The 19,388-nt window shown below is 50.0% G+C and overlaps 2 protein-coding genes across 3 annotated transcripts in view, besides 7 other annotated features; one reads left to right on the forward strand and one right to left on the reverse strand.

The window, feature by feature from the left end:
• Positions 1–13,399, reverse strand: part of TRIM62 (tripartite motif containing 62) — a 36,645-nt gene extending 23,246 nt beyond the window's left edge. Inside the window, exon 1 of one of the 2 annotated variants that reach the window (NM_018207.3) lies at positions 12,381–13,399. In NM_018207.3, the coding sequence (NP_060677.2) occupies positions 12,381–12,788 (408 nt within the window). In that variant the 5' untranslated portion in view covers positions 12,789–13,399. Of the gene's footprint in view, positions 1–7,763; positions 7,907–12,380 lie in introns of those variants that run through there. The other variant, NM_001330483.2, reaches the window with a different exon arrangement.
• ZNF362 (zinc finger protein 362) overlaps positions 1–19,388 on the forward strand; it is a 173,198-nt gene that overhangs the window by 41,123 nt on the left and 112,687 nt on the right. The gene's annotated exons all lie outside the window — the stretch shown is intronic.
• Positions 4,095–4,264: an enhancer, noted in NCBI's record as "experimental_7027 CRE fragment used in MPRA reporter constructs". NCBI's record gives its function as "activates a minimal promoter by MPRAs in K562 erythroleukemia cells, with activity observed for both the introgressed and non-introgressed 1:33638425 variant alleles {active_cell/tissue: K562}" and the evidence as "EXISTENCE:reporter gene assay evidence [ECO:0000049][PMID:34662402]".
• Positions 9,653–9,822: an enhancer, noted in NCBI's record as "experimental_7034 CRE fragment used in MPRA reporter constructs". NCBI's record gives its function as "activates a minimal promoter by MPRAs in K562 erythroleukemia cells, with activity observed for the introgressed 1:33643983 or rs3766820 variant allele {active_cell/tissue: K562}" and the evidence as "EXISTENCE:reporter gene assay evidence [ECO:0000049][PMID:34662402]".
• Position 9,738: a transcriptional cis regulatory region, noted in NCBI's record as "Neanderthal adaptively introgressed variant 1:33643983 (GRCh37/hg19 assembly coordinates) or rs3766820 in the experimental_7034 CRE". NCBI's record gives its function as "modulates activity of the experimental_7034 enhancer by MPRAs in K562 erythroleukemia cells {active_cell/tissue: K562}" and the evidence as "EXISTENCE:reporter gene assay evidence [ECO:0000049][PMID:34662402]".
• Positions 11,922–12,091: an enhancer, noted in NCBI's record as "experimental_7044 CRE fragment used in MPRA reporter constructs". NCBI's record gives its function as "activates a minimal promoter by MPRAs in K562 erythroleukemia cells, with activity observed for the non-introgressed 1:33646252 variant allele {active_cell/tissue: K562}" and the evidence as "EXISTENCE:reporter gene assay evidence [ECO:0000049][PMID:34662402]".
• Positions 12,174–12,373: a silencer, noted in NCBI's record as "silent region_617". NCBI's record gives its function as "represses an Ori minimal core promoter by ATAC-STARR-seq in GM12878 lymphoblastoid cells {active_cell/tissue: GM12878}" and the evidence as "EXISTENCE:reporter gene assay evidence [ECO:0000049][PMID:35858748]".
• Positions 12,964–13,033: a silencer, noted in NCBI's record as "silent region_618". NCBI's record gives its function as "represses an Ori minimal core promoter by ATAC-STARR-seq in GM12878 lymphoblastoid cells {active_cell/tissue: GM12878}" and the evidence as "EXISTENCE:reporter gene assay evidence [ECO:0000049][PMID:35858748]".
• Positions 13,264–13,573: a silencer, noted in NCBI's record as "silent region_619". NCBI's record gives its function as "represses an Ori minimal core promoter by ATAC-STARR-seq in GM12878 lymphoblastoid cells {active_cell/tissue: GM12878}" and the evidence as "EXISTENCE:reporter gene assay evidence [ECO:0000049][PMID:35858748]".

Consider the following 19,388-nt stretch of genomic DNA (forward strand, 5'->3'; position numbering starts at 1 on the left):
GAAAGTCATTCCTAACATTCGTGTGCAGCTTGAGCGGATACAGTCCTCGGAGCAGAGGAATCTTGTTTGCCTAAGAGAGTAGAAAGACCGCTCCTCAGGTGCCTCTGACAGCCTTGGGCTATCCAGCCTGGGACACAGTGTGGCTGAGAGGCAGATGTTGAGGAGATGGGCCAAGTGCTACAATTCTCCCCCTGGTGGCCCCCATGGGTCCACAGAAGACCCAGCCACCCAGGCAGCTCTTCAGGATTTCTGAGAAACTGCCTTGGAGTCTGCCTTCCTCACATTGCTCAGGGCACTTGAGAAACCTGGACATTTCCTCCCTGATTTTGCAGTCAGGGAATAAGGACAGCGGGCTTGCTCCTTCCTCCTGGATCCCGGGAGAATCAGAACACTCATTTGCCCATTCCACAAACATGTGTTGAGACCTTGGGCCCCACATGGTGCTGTGTCAAGGATGGGGAGAGATGAGGTGTGAGTCCTAAACGTGATGCCACGAGGTGTGCATGTGTTGGGGTGACAGTCAGGGACACAGACACTTACATCATGGGGAATGCTGCGATCGTGTTAGGAGATCCCAAACTTGCTCCTCTCCCCATATTCCCCATCTCAGTGAAGTGCACCCCTCCCCTAACTCCATCCCAGCCAGAAACCTCGGAGTGAGAGTCATCCTTGATTCCTACCGCCTCCAAACCAATCCAGTCACTAGGTTTGCTCTGGAATTTGTTCTCTCCTCTCTATGCGTGCTGCCTCTGGTTCGGTTTTTATCACTTCTTTTCTGGGCTGTGGCCCCAGGCTCCTCCCTGCCTCTAGCTCTCCTGCTGCTCCAAGTGCCCTGCACAGCAGCTGCAGTGATTGTTCTAAAGGGCAGATGTATAAATGCTTCCCCCTCTCACTCTCCCCATTGTGCCAGTCTGCAGATTTCCACATTGTCTGGGAAGAAAGGCACAAAGCCTTAGGGTGACATTCAAGGCTCTACTGCTGGCCCCAACCTTTTCTTCTCCAGTCCTAGCTCTTGGTCCAGACGTGTGCTGTTCAATACGACACACGTGGCTATTTAAATTGCAATTAATTAAAATGAAATAAAATGGAAAATTCAGCTCCTCGGTTGCACTGGCCACATTTCAAGTGCTTGCCAGCCACCTGGGCTGCTGTATCAGACAGTGCAGACACAGAACTGCCCGTTCTACCAGAGAGTTCTAGTGGACAGTACTGCTGCAGACACACTGAGCAGCTCGCAGGGCTCTCCAGGCCTTTACACATCTCTCAAGACCCAGATCAAATGTCACCTCCCCTGGGAGTACATGTCTCAAACTCTGCATGCACAGTGTCCCACACTTGTACCCTGATGGCACACACTGCATTTTAATTGCAAGGTTACCTGTCAATCTCCCCTACTAGGCCGGGCACAGTGGCTCACACCTGTAATCCCAACCCTTTGGGAGGCTGAGGCTGAGACCTTTGGATCACCTAAGGTCAGAAGTTCAAAACCAGCCTGGCCAACATGGCAAAACCCCGTCTCTACTAAAAATACAAAAATTAGCCAGGCATGGTGGTGGATGCCTGTAATTCCAGCTACTTGGGAGGCTGAGGAGCAAGAATCGCTTTAACCCAGGAGGTTGCAGTGAGCCAAGATCGTGCCACTGCACTCCAGCCTGGGTGACACAGCCCAGTCTCTTTAAAAAAAAAAAAAATCTCCCCTACTAGATTGTACATTCCAGCCTGGGTGACAGAGCGAGACCCCATCTTTAAAACAACAACAACAAAAATCTCCCCCACTAGATTATGGGCTCTTGAGGGCAAGGACTGTGGAAAGGGGAGATTTTCACAATCTCAGTACCTAGGACACGGCCACACACCCCTGGCCTCGCTGAGTCTTCAGGATGTCCCTGCCCAAGGATGAGGCTAGGCTGAGTCAGAGTTCACCTCGAAAGGGTGGGAGGGGAGAGAAGGCCCCCAGCAGGCAGAGTTCCTTGGATGGGCTAGGTGCAGAGCCCAAAGAAACAGCTAACTTAGGAAAACCAAACCCTAGAGTCCAGAAGGTAGGACTTAGAAGGCTGCCTGAGCTGTGTCACCCCTCCCGCTCCAACGTGTCTCCTTCCTTGGTTAGAAGACTGGCTCTACCACCCATTGGGCTGTGTGACCCTAGGATGTCACCTAACCTCTCTGTGCCCCAGTGCCTTGTCTGAAAAATGGGGATAATCATATCTCCTAGGGTTGGGAGGATAAAGTGAGACAATGGTAAGAAGTGTTCAGCCTCACAGGGCACAGAGCCTGGCACACCCTGGGTGCTCGGGAGACAGAGCGGTCACTGTGTCCCGTATGCGGCTCCCTAGTCGCTTCTTTGTGTCTTCATCCCTCACTGTGTCCAGGTGGCCCCTCCTTCCCTTCTCAGATGGCCAGAGCAGGAAGAGGCTGCAGGGACCATCTGGTCCAACCCCTTGGATTGCCAGGACAGGAAACACAGGCCCAAGGGAAGGGACTGACTGGCCCACGGCCACACAGCTTGACACAGGAGAACAAACTAGAAATTTTACTCCAGCAGAGAGGTCACACAGGAAACTGGAGCCTGATAAACTCTCAAGTGATACAGCTTAACCCTGAGGAAGGACACTGGTAACGGCAGAGACCCAGGACCAGAGGGGCTGGAGGCGGATGTGGTTTGGGTTTGAATTTCACAGGCATCTTGTCACCTAATTCTCACAACAATCCACAAGGTTAGTAGTGTCTTTATTGCGTCCATCTCACAGAGGGGGAAATTGAGGCTCAGTGAGGTTAGGCAGCTTGCCTAAGTTCACACAGCTAGTAAGAGGCAGAGGGGAGGCTCTCAGTGGCTCCGAAAATCCATGTTCAAAATCTCTTGGCCTCCCTACCTCCCATGCAAATCAATGCAGCAAAAATTTCTGAGTACCCAATGAGTGTCAGGCTTTGTGCTGGCCGCTCCAGGGGTGGGCCTATACATGGTCCTTGAAAAATTTGCAGTTAGTCGAGGAGGAAGAAACTTGAATAGGTAAAATACAAAGAAGAACAGGATAAACATGGAGGGCCTGCTAGGATCCAGAACAGCTGACAACACCTGGCTGTGCTCACAGCACCCTCCCTCCACCTTGGTTTCCAAATCTGTAAAGTAAGGTCTTATTTTTATTTTTTATTTTTTTGAGACAGAATCTCGCTCTGTAACCCAGTCTGGGGTGTAGTGGTGCGATCTTGGCTCACTACAACCTCTGCCTCCCAGGTTCAAGTGATACTCCTGCCTCAGCCTCCTGAGTAGCTGGGATTATAGGCGCCCGACACCACGCCTGGCTAATTTTTGTATTTTTAGTAGAGATGGGGTTTCACCATGTTGGTCAGGCTGGTCTTGAACTCCTGACCTCAAGTGATCTGCCTACCTTGGCCTCCCAAAGTGCTGTGATTACAGGCATCAGCCATGGCACCGGACCTCAAATCTATTAAGTAAGGCCTAACAGCACCTGCTCCATAGGCTTGCTCTGGGAATGAAATGACTTAATTCATGACCTGACATGACGTACAGGGTGAGCTCAATCAATCTTAGTTGTCATTATCATCATAGTAACTATATGTAAAGTTGGGACTCAGAACGGGGGGAGCTTCAAGGAAGGAGTTTGTTTCTGATGGAAGGACAAAGGAAGATGGATGGCCAGGGTTCCTTCAAGTCTCCAGGATGGGCCAGGGCATTGCAGGTGGGGAGAACAGGTTGGGTAGGGGCCCACCCTCACGTGTGCAGGAAGTCGGGGTGGTTGGGGATGGCTGCAGCCAGGCATGTGACAGGTGGGTGGAGTCACAAGCTGGAAAGGCCAGCTGGGGCTAGCTAGGGTAGGGGTGGGCACTGGAGGAGGCCTTGAATGTCAGCCTGGGAGAGTTGGATTCCACAGGGCCCCATCGGAGCGGGGGTGGGCCGGGCAGGATGAGGTGAGTGGGGAGGACACACCTCAGAGGGTGGGGCTGTGGAGTCTGCGCAGCCCTGAGCACACAGTTATGCAAATATGCCAGCTTTGAGGCTCTGGGGCTCTTTATTGGTATGAAGAAGCCAGGACTGGGGCAACAGAGGAGTTGGGGGGCACAGAGAGGCAGGGCTCAAATGTTCCCAAGGCCAGATCTCTCCTGCTGTGAGGCCATCCCTCCCTCTGGTCCAGGGGACAAAGCAGCTGTGGAAAGCCATCTCAGCTCTGGCTTCAGGGACTCTTCATCAGAAAAGCCTGTGTTCAAATCCTGACAGCATGACTTTCGCTCAGGGCTCACCTCCGCAAGCTTTCACAGTGTTGTGATGAAGGCTAAAGTGAGATGGCACCTATGACACGGCCCAGCATGGCGCTGCACACAATAGGTGCTCAAGCCTCTCCTCTTCTCCATGTCTGGGTACTGCTCTCTCTTTCCCTCTCTGACCCAAGGATGCCAGAAACCTGACCGTGACAAACTTGAACTTGCCTCTCCCTTTCCTCCCCCAACCCCAATCCTTCATCTATACCTAGAACCGGATGCTCCTGGTCCTCCCAACAGACTGGAATTATTTTATATCTTTGAGCCCCAACCCTCCCTGTGCACTTCTGAGCCACACAATCTCTGGCAACATCTGGCCAGTCCCTGCTTCTAGGGTCTCCCACCAGCTCCCCTGGCACACTGCCCCACAGTGCTTGGTCCATAATGCAGACCTGGCCGGGCTGCACTTGCCTGCTCACATTTGTTTCTGGCTTCCTAGCATGTTAAGTAAGGATCAAGCTCAATGGGTGCGTGCATGTGTGTGTGTGAGCTTGTGTGCGCATGCATGTGTATGTGTGTATGTGTGTGTGTGCATGTATGTGCACATTCAAGCATTCAAAGCCCTTCCTGAGCTGGTCAAGCCTTGCTTTTCCATTCTTACCTCCTCCTGCCACACCCTCCCCTCTAGCCACAACGAACCACCTGAACACATGTGTGCTCACCTCCATGCCTGTCCCTGGTCACACTCAGATAACCTGAGTTCAAGTTTCAGCTTCAGGGACACTTAGTGGTTTTCTGACCTTAAGCACAGTTTCTTTCTTTTTTTTTTTTTTCCCTAATTAAAAAAAATTTTTTTAGAGACAAGGGCTCACTCTATCACCTAGGCTGAAGTGCAGTGGTGCAATCATAGCTCACTATAGCCTCAAACTCCTGGGGCTCAAGTAATCCTCCTGCCTCAGCCTCCCAAGTACCTCACACTACAGGCATGCATCATGCCTGGATAATTTTTAAAAATTTATTGTAGAGATGGGGTCTCTCTGTGTTGCCCAGGATGGTCTCGAACTCCTAGCTTCTGGCCTCAAATGATCCTCCCACCTTGGCCTCCCAAGAGCTGGGATTAGAAGCATAAGCCACTGTGCTTAGCCTCTTTTTAAAAAAAATTTTATTGAGGTAAAATATACATATATACCTTATCATCTTTACCATTTTTAGGTGTACAATTCAGAGGTAGTAAATACATTTATATTCTTTTCCCCCCTTTCTTCTTCCCCCTTCTTCTCCCTTCTCCCTTTCCAGGCCCTTAGGCACAGTTTCTGTTTTTCCTTTTTGGTTTTTTGAGACAGGGTCTCACTCTGTTGCCCAGGCTGGCTGTAGTGCAGTGGCACCATCACAGCTCACTGCAGTTTCAACCTCCTGGGCTCAAGTGATCCTCCCACCTCAGCCTCCCAAATAGCTGGGACTACAGGTGCATGAAACCATGCCCAGCTAATTTTTTTGCATTTTTTATAGAGATAGGGTTTTGCCATGTTGCCCACACTGGTCTCGAACTTCTGGGCTCAAGCAATCCTCTTGCCTTGACCTCTCAAAGTACTGGAGTTACAGGTGTGAGCTACTGTGCCCAGCTAGGCACAGTTTCTGAGCCTCAGTTTCTCCATTTATAAAATGGGGCAATGAGATCCATCTCATAGGGTTACTGTTAGAATTAAATGAGAGGTAGGCTGGGGGAGAGAGAGAGAAGGAGAGCATGACTGCCTGTCAAAGCCTTGAACCCAGTCCGTGGAACAATCTGCACCAGGCTGTGCATGTTTTTGTTCCCTCTGTCCATAACATCTTTCTTTCTGCTCCCTGGCCTGAAGTACTCAGCGTATCTTTTAGGATTCAGCTCAACAGAGCAAGCCTCAGTTACAGCAACCTACCAGTTTATGGGCCTATCTTTCGGGACCACACAGGGCCAGGTCTTGTGTAGTTCTCTCCTGGGCCCAACACAGGGCTGGCCCTCTGTAGCCATGGCACAGATACTGGCTAAAGAAATTATGTGTGTGTGTGTATATATATATATACACACACACACATACATATATGTGTGTATATATATATATATATATATATACACACATATACATATATATGCACACACACATGTATGTATATGTATATGTATATGTATATGTTTATGTATATGTATATGTATTTTTTTTAAGATGGAGTCTCACTCTGTCACCCAGGCTGGAGAGTAGTGGAATAATCTCAGCTCACTGCAACCTCTGCCTCCCGGTTCAAGCGATTCTCGTGCCTCAGCCTCCCGAGTAGCTGGGATTATAGGTGTGTGCCACGAATGCCCAGCTAATTTTTTTTTTTTTTGTATTTTTAGTAGAGATGGGGGTTTCATAATGTTGGCCAGGCTGATCTCAAACTCAGGTGATCCGCCTGCCTTGGCCTCCTGAAGTGCTGGGATTACAGGCGTGGGCCACTGCGCCCAGCCCAGAAATTATTAAAGGAATCCCTGAATCCAAGACAGAACTCACCTCCAAATCTGCCTCATCCCTCTGAGTGTTCAAGCAGAGATGGAGGTCAGGAAGGTAAATGGTACTGGGAAAACAACACTGGACTGAGTCGGGAGAGCTGAGCTCTGGTCTAACCCTGGGCAAGGCAGTTTCCCCATCTGCAAAATGGGGAGCGTGTCAACCAGATGGTTTCTCAGGTTCCTCCCCATTTGGTGCTCCCTGGGACAGTTGGCGTGTTGGGAAGGAGGGTGAATTCTGAGTCAGAAAGACCACTTTGAATCTCAGCTCTTCCTCCTACTTGCAGTGTGATCTTGGGAAGGTTACTGAATCTCTCAGCCTCATTTTCTTCATCTGTGAGATGGTACTGATCTCAGTCCCACTCAGGGAGTAGGGAACGAAAAAATCCTTGTGAGAATCAAATGCCTATAACACAGCACCTGGCACACAGTAAGTGCCCCATAACTTACTTTGTGCCTCCAAAACTTGGGCTATAATTTTATAGAGTCATTGTTTCATCATTGTTAGTCCCTACCAGGTCTTTTTTCTTTCTATAAAATAAACATCTTGGGGTCCCCAATGTTGGCCCTAAGCTTCTACACTGTGGCCCGTGCTCAGCAAAGGTATCCTGGCTGCCCAGACACCTGTGAAGAGGGATGTGGAGATGCCAGCGGCCAGCTCTGAGTTTGACCCACAGCCAGCTTTGCCCTCACAGAGGCTGCTGTTGGCATAGAAATCCTGCCCTCTCCTTGGAAAAGTAACAGCAGAGCCACTTCCCCACAACACAGACAACCCAGCTGCCTTCCTGTCCATGCTACAAAATAAAGTGCCTCTGAATCTCTCATTTCTTTGGATATTTAGCAACTCTTTCTCTCTCTTTATACAGAAAGCAGGAGGGCTAGTTCTTACTTCCATTTCTCAGATTGGGTAAGAGGGTGTCACCCCCTCTCCTGGAAGAAACCAGAGCCGAAATTTGAACCTAGCCCCCAGCCCCCTCCCTCCTTGGGTGGCTGCCTTGGTGTCACTGGATCACCATACCCTGCCTACCAGGGCTTGCGTCCAAGGCTGATCCACTGCTGTCTTCTCTGGCATGAAGGAAGCCTTGGGAAGGGCTCCAATGGTCACATGAGGCCTGGAGGGGGCGGCTGAGACTGAATCGGATCCCCTCTCTGGGGGTTAGGAACCTGAGACGGCCAGAGAGCCGGATGCCACGTCTGCTCTGACCAAGATGACGTCCCAACCACCTGCCCTCGGGGCGTCAGCTGGCACAGATGGCCTAGCCCTGTCAATACAGGACAGGCAGGGTGGCTGGGAGACAATTACCCAGCCCTCAGAGGTAGCTCAGGGACGGTATGTGGCCTAGTCAGACTGGCTTCCAATCCTGGCCCTGCCATTTACCAGCTGCGTGACCAAATGAGTCACTTAATTCCTCTGAGTCTGTTTCTTCATCAGTAGAAGAAATAGATAACAATACCCATCCCACAGGGTGCTATGAAGATTAAATGAGGTAATGCAAGAAAAGCCCTTAGTGCAGTCCCAGGCATTCAGACTGGGCTCGATGAATATTGGCTGAGAAGCCCTGAACTCTTTGGAAATGGGCTCCTTCCCTCCACTTTGCTCAGTGGTCCAGGTACTCAGCAGTGGAGGTGGGGAGGAAGACACCAACACACATACACATGCACACACACACGCACACACACACACATGCACACACACACATGCATGCACAAATGCACACACATGCACACACACATGCATGTACGCATGCACACACACGCACATGCACACCCACAGGTTACATAAAAATCCTTAGAACTGTATAGTAACTCCTGCCATGTTTCATGGGGTATTATTATGGGGGGACTTTAACTTTTACATTATACAGCTCTGCTTCTTATGTTAATTTTATAATCAGAATAAAGACATTTAAAAATAGTTTTGGGGTGCCTACTATGCCAGGCACAGTACTAGGCACTTCTGATAAAGGATCCCTAACCCTTACAACATCCTTCCCAGGAACATCATATCCTCTTGTTATAGATGAACCTTAGAGAAGGAGCCTTAGAGAAGCAAAGTGACGTGACCAAGGACACACAGCATGTCAGGATCTGACCCCTGTGATGTAATCTGGAGTACAAAGCAATTGTGCTTAGTAGGTCAGGGAAGGCTTCACAGAGGAGGTGATATTTGACCTGAAGTTTTAAAGTTCAGTGGGACTTTTCTAGGTCAGGTTTCTCAACTAGAGGTGATTTTGACTCTAGGAGACATTTGTCAATGCTTGGAGATGGTTTTGATTGTCACAACTTGCGGGGTGGGTGGAGTTTGCTACTGGCATCTAATGGGTAGAGGCCAGGAATGCTACCAGACTTCCTATAACACACAAGATGGCCCTGCACAACAGTTATCTAGCCCCAAATGTCAATAATGCCGAGTACGATGTAACCTACTATAGCTGTCATTTATTGAGTGCTGTTAGGTGCCAAGTGCAGTACTAAGTTTTTATAAACATCATCTTGTTTAATCCTAATATAATTACTTCCATGCTGTCCATGAAGGACCCAAGGCTCAGAGATGGTAAATAATCTTCCCAAAGTCACACAGTAAATGGTAGAGCCAGGATTGAGATTACCTGGGTACAAAGCAGGGCTCTTAATTTCTCTGCTCTGATGCCTCAAGGATTTATAATAAATGTAAAAGCTGCACGCCAACTGCTAGGTAGGGTGTTGGGAGACTCCAGCTGAGTATAGGCCCAGCTTCCTCTGGCTTCGAGGCCTTAGGCAAGTTCCCTTCCTCCCTCTCCCTCTCCTGTTTCCCCATCTGTCAAGTGGATGTGGCACCAGATCATCTGCATGGCTCTGAGTCTGTAATTCTGCAGAAGGGCCCCAGCTCCATCAGCTGCTGGGAGAGAAGGGGATGTGAGGGTGGGTTCAGCCTTATTTCTGCTGCATAAATAGCTAATAAGCCTTGCCTTCCCCATATGGAGGGAGAGGCAGGTGGGGTGGAGGGTGCCTTGAATCTCACCCAGCAGCACATCCTCTCTAGATGGGAGGCAGATTTCTCTGCCACCAAATTGCCAAGCCCAGAGGACACACTAAAGCAAGGCCTCCTTCTCGGGCCAGAGAGGAGAGTCTGGGCATTCACTCAGCTGGGCACATGAGCTCTCACAGGCAGAAAGAGAAAAGGTGGGCTGTATGTTATTCCAGCCCGTACTGTGTGCCTTTGAACCTCAAATAGCAGGTTAATCCCAGGTCAGCTTCACAAAAGTCCTGGTAGGAAGGAAGCATCCTGACCCCATTGTACAGACAGAGCATCAGCGTTTACATGAAGTGACTCACCAAGGTGCACACAGTGCCCACAGCAGGTTTGGAACCCAAGTATGTCCAACCCCACAACAGTGCACTAGAGAGTAAGCAAGTGGCAGTCCTGTTTTACTTTTCACCCAATAATGAAGCATTTCAATAATATTTGTAGGTAATACATGTTCAATTTCTCCTGTGTCCCCCAGGTCATGGGATAGAGTACAGAAGCCCAACATACAGTAATTTGGATTTCCTGGTTTGCAGACAGGAGAACCAAGGCTCTGAAGCAGAGGCTAGAAGGTCAGACAAGGAGGGGAGAGATCAGAGAAGAGGGATCTGGGTCAGGCTGTGCCCTATAGCCCTGGCTCTCTCACTGTCTGGAAGTGTGGCCTTGGGCAAGTCACATAACTTCTCCAGGCCTCACTTTCCATTCCTACATGATGAAGAGGTTGGACAGATGGTTTCAGACAGAGTCCCCTCAAACTCTTCCTGCTTATGTGACTCCATAGACGGGGAGATGGACAGCAGCAGCGCCTAAAACGATGGCTCTGGGGGTGGAGGGCCAAGCCTTGTGCAGGCTCCCAGAGGCCCAGGCCCTTGCTCACCCTCTGATGGGGCCTTCATCCTCAGACAGCTAGACTGGAAGGGAGTCAGTTGTAGTTTTGAGATAAAAGGGACAGGGAAGGAGCGATGGTGAACATGGGCCATTTCTCCTGAGGCCCATGGGCATCTGCTGGGTGCAGGCCTACTCAAAGACTAGTGTGTGGAGGGGTTGGGAGCCCCTACAATACAGGGGAAAGTAATTATTTAGTTTCTGTTTGAGTATCTCGAGGCCAGAGAGCTCATTACCTCCCAAGTTAGCCCACTCCATTTTCATAAAATGTTTGAGCCAAAAACCTTCTGCTTCCAAACGCTCCACAGTGTGGTCCAGCTTAGGCCAGGGTTGGTCATTCTTTCGTTCATTCATTTGGCCTTTATTGGTGTGTACTGTGGGCCAGGCCTTGCACCAGGCTTTGGGGCCATAGATAGGAGAAATAAGATTCTGTCTCTGGCCTTGGAGAACTACGTGCTCGACTAGTATCCCAAAGCCAGGTACATGGGGCTGCTGGATTTAAGTGATTTAGCTTGAAAAAAGGATTCCAGGCCCAAGTAAGCTTGGGAACCATTTTATTAAACACAGTAAAATAGATTTATTTGCAACAAAATTTCTCTAAGCTTTTAATATGCAAATGCACACTGAAAATTCTCCAAGGGGGTGGGTATAAAAAATATACTATATTTCCCACACTTATTAATAGAGAGCATTTGGGGAAATGCAGTTCTAATGTTTTTGTTTGTTTGTTTGTTTGTTTGACCAGTGGAACTTGGAGAAGGCTTCACGGAGAGGATATTTGAGCAAGGCTCAATAAAAGTTGAGTAGGAGTTTGTCAGTGAAGACAGGAAGTCTTAAGGGAGACCGATTAGAGTTCTATGCCAACTATGCTCAGGTCACTCTGCATGTACCGTTTCACTTAGTCTTCAAAAGTCCTGATGTGGGGGACAGAGCCAAAGAGGTCATCAAAAACCTCTAGAGACTCCTAGAGGTCTAGCCCCTCCCTTCTTGAATCACCTTACATCTGGGCCTTATTCTCCAAATCTTTACCTTTAAGTCCTGGCCCCACTCAACCTGGCCTCTACTCTGGCTTAAATCTAAACTTGTTGTAGAGTATCCGGACCTGATCTCAGTCTTAACCCCTCATACACCTTGGCCTAACCCTCGGTACTCAAACCTGCCCTCTCAGCACTTTGGCACCCTAACTTATACCACTCTATTAGGTTTCACCCTCACCTGTCCAGCACATTCTAGCCCCCGTACTCCTCTTAGTCCTGATGCACATCTGATCCGGTCTCCGCCCCCACAGAACCCCCAGCCTGCCAGAGCTCAGCTACCCGGTTTAATACAGACCCATCCTCGCGACCTCGCCCTCAGTCTGACAGTGGCCCTGCCTTTGCCCAACTCTGATTCCGGTTCGTCCACAACCCTGCCCCAGCCCAGTATCTGGTCCAGTTCTGATCTCACTTGTTTCCGCCATCCCATCCGCATCCCCGACTTCTCCCTAACCGCGGACCAGCCGGTACTCCAGGTCTGTCTCAGATCCCTCAGGGTCCGGACTGCCCAAGGCCCCGCCCCCACGGCCCCGCCATGCGGCGGCCCCGCCCCTCCCTGCCCCGCGTTACTCCTGATAGGGCCCTGACCTTGCTGGCGGCCCCGCCCCAGGACCATTCTGACTGGGCCTGGCCCGCGGTCCAGCCCTGACCCCACCCCCCGCCCGGCCCCACCTCCAGCCCGGCCCCGCCCCTTCCCCAGGCAGGCCGGGTAGCGCACCTGCAGCTCGTCGAAGGCGTCGTCGATGCCGGTGACCTGATGCTGCTCGTGCAGTGCAGGCTCGTCGCAGAAGAAGCAGAGAAGCGCGCGGTCCGTGAGGCAGAAGAGCTTGACCTTGTCGTGCGCCTGGCAGGGTCGCGCGGCGCGGCGCGCGTTGAGGATGGCGTCCAGCGGGAAGGAGCTGTAGCGCTCCACGATGTTGGCCAGCTTGAGGCTGGGCGCCAGCGCGGGCTCGGCGAACGTGCGCCGGCACTCGGGGCAGTCGCGGGCGCCCTGCGCCTCCTGCCGCACCCAGTGCTCCGTGATGCAGCGGCGGCAGAAGTAATGCTCGCAGCCCAGGCTCACCGGGTCCTGGTAGATGCTCAGGCAGATGGAGCACAGCAGCTCGTCCTTGAGGCTGCACGCCATGGCGCCAGGGGCAGCAGAGAGGGGGGCCCGAGGGGCAGGGGGGCGGCTGAGAGAGCGCGGCGCTGTCGGAGGCAGCACCGAGGGCTGGGCGCGGGGACGAGGCCCGCACAGGCAGGGGTAGGAGCTACCGGAGAAGGGAGGGGGTGCTGTCCGGAAGGAGGGTAACGCGAGGAAGGGGTGCGCGGCTGAGACTCCGTGGGACGCCAGCCCGGGAGGGCAGTCTAGAGGTAGTGGGCAGCTCAAGGCGATGGGCGCTGGGAGGAGGCTGTGAGCGGCTGAGGGACGGAGATCCTGACGGGGAGGTTCTAGGGGGCGGGGCAGTCCTAAGGGATAGGAGCTGGGAGAAGGGGATCCCGGAGCGGGGTGGAGCCCTTAAGGGGGTCGAAATCCCGGGGTGGGGGCGGTGCGGGGAGGGCGAGAAGCTGGGGATGGGGAATCCTGGGGGAGGGGGCAGCCAGGCCGAGCCGTACATTGGCTGTGACCGGCAGAGAAGAGGAGGGGTGCCGGCCCGCTCAGCTGCCGGATCCCGGCCCCAAACCCTGGCCCAGCGCGACCCCTTACCCCCGCGAGCTTAGCAGCCACCGCTTCGGTCCAGCGCAGCCTCTCAACCCGGAACCAGCCGAATCCGAGCTGCCGGTGGCCGCGGCTGCCTCCCCGCCCCCGTGGGCGGGACCCAAGCAACTCCGCCCCCGCAGCGGGCGGGGGAGGGGCGGGGCCACCAGCCGGTTGACCCCGCCCCACCCCCACCATCCTCCAGCTCCCAGGGAAGCGAAGCCCAGCTGTTCCTTCGGGGTGTGTACTTGGAACTGCATCCAGGTCTCGCTTAGGGTCCCCGCGGCGAGGCGGAGCAGCTAATTTGAGAGCACAACAAATAAACAAGGAGCATCTTTCTGGATCATCGATTTGAAGATGTAGAAAAAATCATATTTTGTATTAAAACGAACAAGAATATATTTGGAATACAACTTCTGCATAAAATATAAAGATAAAACTCTTGAAATGCCCTGCTTGCTTAGAGCGAGTTCAAGGCCCTCACACTCCTAAGCCCTGGGGTCCCATTTCCTCTTCACTTTCTTAAGGAGTGCTTGGGGAGAAGTTTGGAAAGCCCTGGCTAACATCTGGCCCCGGAGGCTGCCTCCATTGGCAAACAATTCTGGAGTGCTGTATTTGTGTGTGTGTGTGTGTGTGTGTGTGTGTGTGTGTAAGGCGGTGAGGGGTGGAGCAGGAGAGAGGGAGAAAAAGTAATAGGAGAACTTGTCTTGTGTGCCAGATGGAGAGGGGATAAGGGATTTCTAGGCAGAGGAGACAGCCTGTGCAAAAGCATAGAGGCGTGAAAGGGGAGGGCGCAGTGAAGGAAGTGCTAGTAATTCTGTACTGTTGGGGGTGGGGTGGAGAAGGAGCCTGGGTGGGCTGGAGGGCATTGTGGGTCATGGTAAAGAATTTCTTGAAGGCATGGGGCTTTCAGGCAAGGGAATGACCTGGTCCGATTGGGTTTCAGGAAGTCTTGGAGATAATCATTATACCATCTGCAAGGTGAAGAAGACAGGGAGCTTTTCCAATGTGTCTGCGGATGCACAGCACTCAGCACACAGTAAAGGTGTGTAGCTGAATAACCGCATCAACGCCCTGGGTTGCAGGAGGAAGGAAAGACTGGGCACCCCTAAGGTGCTGTTGTCATCGTGCCTGCAGGAGGTGAGACCCGAACTGGGGCCTCAGCAGTGGGTAAGGAGAGAAGACTAGGGTATTGCAAGTACAGACACGGTGACATTTGGTGATGGTTGGATACGGGGGTGAGGGAAATGAGCCATAGAGGGTGGCTACCAGTTTCTGCCTCCTCCAGAAATATCTTCATTGGTGTTAAACTTTATTGAGGTACAGTTTATGAAAAAGCTCTCAGTTTAGTTCTCTATGGTTAACACTTTCTCCATCACACCCTCATCTGGCCCAGAATCTCCATCATTGCGAGAAAAATAGTTGGTTGCTCATGCAACAGCAGTTTCTCAACATTTTCTTATGGGCAGAGCCCTGATTTTGGTCAGGTGGCCCCCTTCCCCAAGTGACCCAAGGAAGGCTGACCCCAGCCCATTTCCAGGAGTGAGTCTTGTTTGGTCCAAGTCCATTATGGTGGTCTCATGGAGTGAGTCTTGTTTGGTCCAAGTCCATTATGGTGGTCTCATTCCTCTTGCCAGTGACGGTTTGGGCAGGTCCAGCCTGAAAAACTAAAGGGGAAGCCTATGGCAGAGAGGGGTTTTCAGGAAATGGTCTCTTTACTTTGCAAAACAGTCTGCCCCCTTTGCTGGGATATGTTTGGTGGCAATGCTTGGAATTGCAACAGCCATCTTGCTCCCAGTCTGAGGATGCAGCAAATACAGAAGGGAGGGCAAGGCCAAGAGAGTCCTAGGGAAGAGAAGCTTTTATTCTGATGCAGAGTCTGGACTTCAGGATATGTGAGATGGTCCATCTTATTGCATAAGCCAGTTTAACAGTAGTGCATTGTCACTTTGCAACCCAGAGAATCCCAACTGATATACTGACGTGCACCCCTAATGAGGGGGTGGGGAAAGTGAACAGGGCAGAGTCTAAATTATTGAAGCATTTGAAATGAAATGAAAAAAAAAAAGGCTTGATGATGGATGAAACAGTGACTTCATTATTCAACATGTATTTACTGATGCTGACTCCAAGCAGGTCTTTGTGAGGAGGTGGAATAAACTATGCTCCTTGCTCCCAAGGAGCTGGCAGTCTAGAGGGCAAAATCAATGAGAAATTCTTATCAGGCACAGTAGGGCTTGCTAAGCATTCTCACATATATTATTGGATTTCAGTCCCAAAGCAGCCTTAACTAGTTTATATTATTATCCCCGTTTTATAGAGGAAGATACCAAGGCTCAAATAAAGGAGATGTGATGGAAATTGCTAGCTGTCCACTAAACTTCATCCTCCTGTTCTTCTATGTAGTAGAGTAGCAGTCGGAGGAATGGCTGGTCCACTAGAGATCATACATCCCAGCTGTTCTTGCAGCCGAGTGAGACTTGGTGACTAAAATCTTTCTAATAGAACATAAATAGAAATAGACCTTAAGGCATGAAGCTTTTGCTCTCCCATGCTCCATTTTCTCTTCTCTTGAGTTGGAACATAGATGTACCAGGGACACAGCTTCAATAATGCTTCAAAAGGGCTGATGGAGCAAAGATATGGGAGGATCCTGGGTTCCTGAATGACTGCATGAAGTACAGCCACCCTGACATGGACTACAGAGTGAGAAGTAAACTTATTTTCTAAGAGCCATTGTATTTTGGGTCTTTTGTTGCAGCAGCCCAGCTTTCTCCATACTATTTTGCAGCTGTTTTTATTATTTATTTATTTGAGATGGAGTCTCGCTCTGTCACCCTGGCTGGAGCACAGTGGCATGATCTTGGCTCACTGCAACCTCTGCCTCCCAGGTCCAAGTGATTCTCCTATCTCAGCCTCCCTAGTAGCTGGGACTACAGGCGCATACCACCATGCCTGGCTAATTTTTGTATTTTTAGTAAAGACAGGGTTTCACCATATTGGTCAGGCTGGTCTCAAACTCCTGACCTCAGGTCATCCAACCGCCTCTGCCTCCCAAAGTGCTGGGAATACAGGCATGAGCCACTGCGCCCAGCCAATTTTGCAGCTGTTTTTAGAAGAGGCTCTGGTACTATTTTACTCTATTGTCTAAATCCTTTCAGTAGATAGTCTTAATATGTAGGTCTAATCTCCTCCAAAGGACATAGTATGTGGTTTTCTCTGGCTGAAAGTCACAGACTCTTTTTTTTTTCTTTTGAGATGGAGTCTTGCTCTGTTGCCCAGGCTGGAGTGAAGTGGTGCAATCTTGGCTCACTGCAACCTCCACCTCCCAGCCTCAAGCAATTCTTGTGCTTCAGCCTCCCGAGTAGCTGGGATTACAGGTGCCCGCCACCACGCCAAGCTAATTTTTGTATTTTTAGTAGAGAGGGGGTTTCACCATGTTGGCCAGGCTGGTCTCAAACTCCTGACCTCAAGTGATCTGCCTGCCTTGGCCTCCCAGAGTGCTGGGATTATAGGTGTGAGCCACCGTGCCCGACCCAGTCTCTTCTCTTTCACTTTACTTCCCAGTGTTCAGTCCTTTTATCCTCTGAGCAGTTCTTCTCTTGACCTTATTCCATCTCCATTAAGATGCAGAACACTAAAACTGTTGATTATCTTTACATTTGGCAAGTCATTGCTCTCTCCACATCTGATGTGGTTGAGTGGTCTGAACTAAGACTTAGAGATCCTGACTGCAGTGTATGCCATCTGCTTCCATTCATACTCCAGAAATTAACATCAGGAATTTTTTTTTCTGGAAAGCTATCCAAGAGCTATTGTTGAGTGAGAAAAAGAAAAGAAAGACCCAAATACACTGACACATAGACACCCACAGACTTAGACACAATCACAGGCATTATTTGCATAACAAAAATTCTATAGAACTATATTCTAATTGTGTTCTTTTGTGGGCTGGGATTATGGGGGACTTTAACTTTTACATTAGATAGCTCTGTTTATTATATATATTTTTGTAATCAGAAAAAATAAAGAAAATTGATCCTCATTATTTATGGATTCCATATTTGCAAAATCACCTACTTCTAAAATTTATTTGTAACCTTCAAATCAATACTTGAGGCACAATTGCTATTATTTGTGGACATACTTATGTGCAGTGGTGAAAATCTTGACTTACCCACACATATGTTCCCAGCTGAAGGTGAACAAAGGGACACCCTGCCTTCTTGTCTCAGCTGTCATAGTGTAAACAAGTATTCTTTTTGTGACTTATTTGGTGCGAACCGTTCTCATTTTTTGTGCCTTTTTGTTGGTGATTTTGCTATTTAAAATGGCCCCAAGCATTGTGCTGAAGTGCTCTCTGGTGTTCTCAAGCACAAGAAGGCTGTGATGTGCCTTAAGGAGAAAATACGTGTGCTTGATAAGCTTTGTTCAGACATGAGTTACAGTAGTGTTGGCTGTGAGTTCAGTGCTAGTGAATCAACAATTTATATATTAAATAAGGGTCTCTAAGCAGAAACACACATAAAACAAAGTTGTGGCTGGGTCCAGTGGCTCACTCCTGTAATCCCAGCATTTTGGGAGGCTAAGGCAGGAGGATCACCTGAGGTCAGGAGTTTGAGACCAGCCTGGCCAACATGGTGAAACCCCCATCTCTACTAAAAAACAAAAATTAGCTGGGCGTGGTGGCGGGTGCTTGTAATTCCAGCTACTTGTGAGGTTGAGGCACGAGAATCACCTGAACCCAGGAAGTGGAGGTTGCAGTGAGCCAAGATCCCGCCACTGCACTCCAGCCTGGGCGACAGAGCGAGACTCCGTCTCAAAAAAAAAAAAAAAAAAAAGAAATGAGTTCACTCTCTAAATTAGTGCTTCTCAATGCATAGTCCTTGAGCCACATGTGTCTTAGCATGGGTTCTTCCAAGAACTGACCTTAAGATAAGGACTAAAGTGAAAATAGTTTATTTGGGGAGCATAAGTAACACTAATAGGGAAGTGGGAAGGTGATACAGGGAAGGGAAGGCAGCCCCATAAGGGTGCACTATTATCACAAAGGGGAACTGAAGATTTATCCTGCAGGGAAACTCTGGGAAATGGTACAAAACCTCAGAATGATCGATGCCTCAGAAGCATCCCACCCAAAGGGTGAGGGAGCTGGGGTATTTATACACCATGTTTGAGTGTTGAGGCTGCTCCCTGGTGGTGTTTAATTCTTTGGCACTTGTGAACTGTGATGTGTACAGTCAGCTCTCTGTAGTTCTGGGAAAATGATCCCTTAGCTACCATGTGGATGCTGGCAGTTGGAAGTCTTGGGAATACATTGACAGGTTTGAGGGACAATGGCAGGGCATTGACAGTATGTGTCACAGTTCACCCTTGCACCTGCTCAGATAAACTTGCATTCATATTAAGTTTCATGTTCTGTCACTGCTTCTTTGGGTGGTGGAAAGTCACGATTTGTTACAAGAAGAGAGGAGAAGAAGGAAGAGGAAGAGGTAGAAAGGATAACAGATAAGAGGAGGGACAATCTCCAGACCCCACTGCTGTAGTTGGTCCTAAAGTGTAACTGATGCTCAGCTTCCGACTCTACTACCCTTTCTAGATGCCCCTCACCTGGTCCAGCAGGGGTCACTTACTCCTGCCTGTTCAGAATCTCCTTTCTTAGCTTGCTGGTCTGCTGTCATGAGGATCCCAAAATTACCAGAGGCAGATATAATTTTAGGTTTAGTAAAACCACAATTATGTCCTCTGGTAGAAGTGATCTCTCCCTACCCTCTGAGAACTAGGATCTCTGGTTCAACAGAGCCTAAAGCTTTGGCAATAGAAAGCATAAATTTGCCAAGTGGGTCATTGGGAATAAAGGTGAGAGAGGCCACTCATTTCTTGGCTTCCAGACCTATGTATTCTGACTGTTGGGGATGTAGCACCCTTACAATAGCTATTGTCTCAAGTATAGAAATACATGTAAGGGAGGCAGGGTGTGATGGCTCACGCCTGTAATCCCAGCACTTTGGGAGGCCGAGACGGGCAGATCACGAAGTCAGGAGTTTG

This window comes from Homo sapiens, chromosome 1 (genome assembly GCF_000001405.40).
Source record: "Homo sapiens chromosome 1, GRCh38.p14 Primary Assembly".
In the NCBI taxonomy this organism is placed as follows: Eukaryota; Metazoa; Chordata; class Mammalia; order Primates; family Hominidae; genus Homo; species Homo sapiens.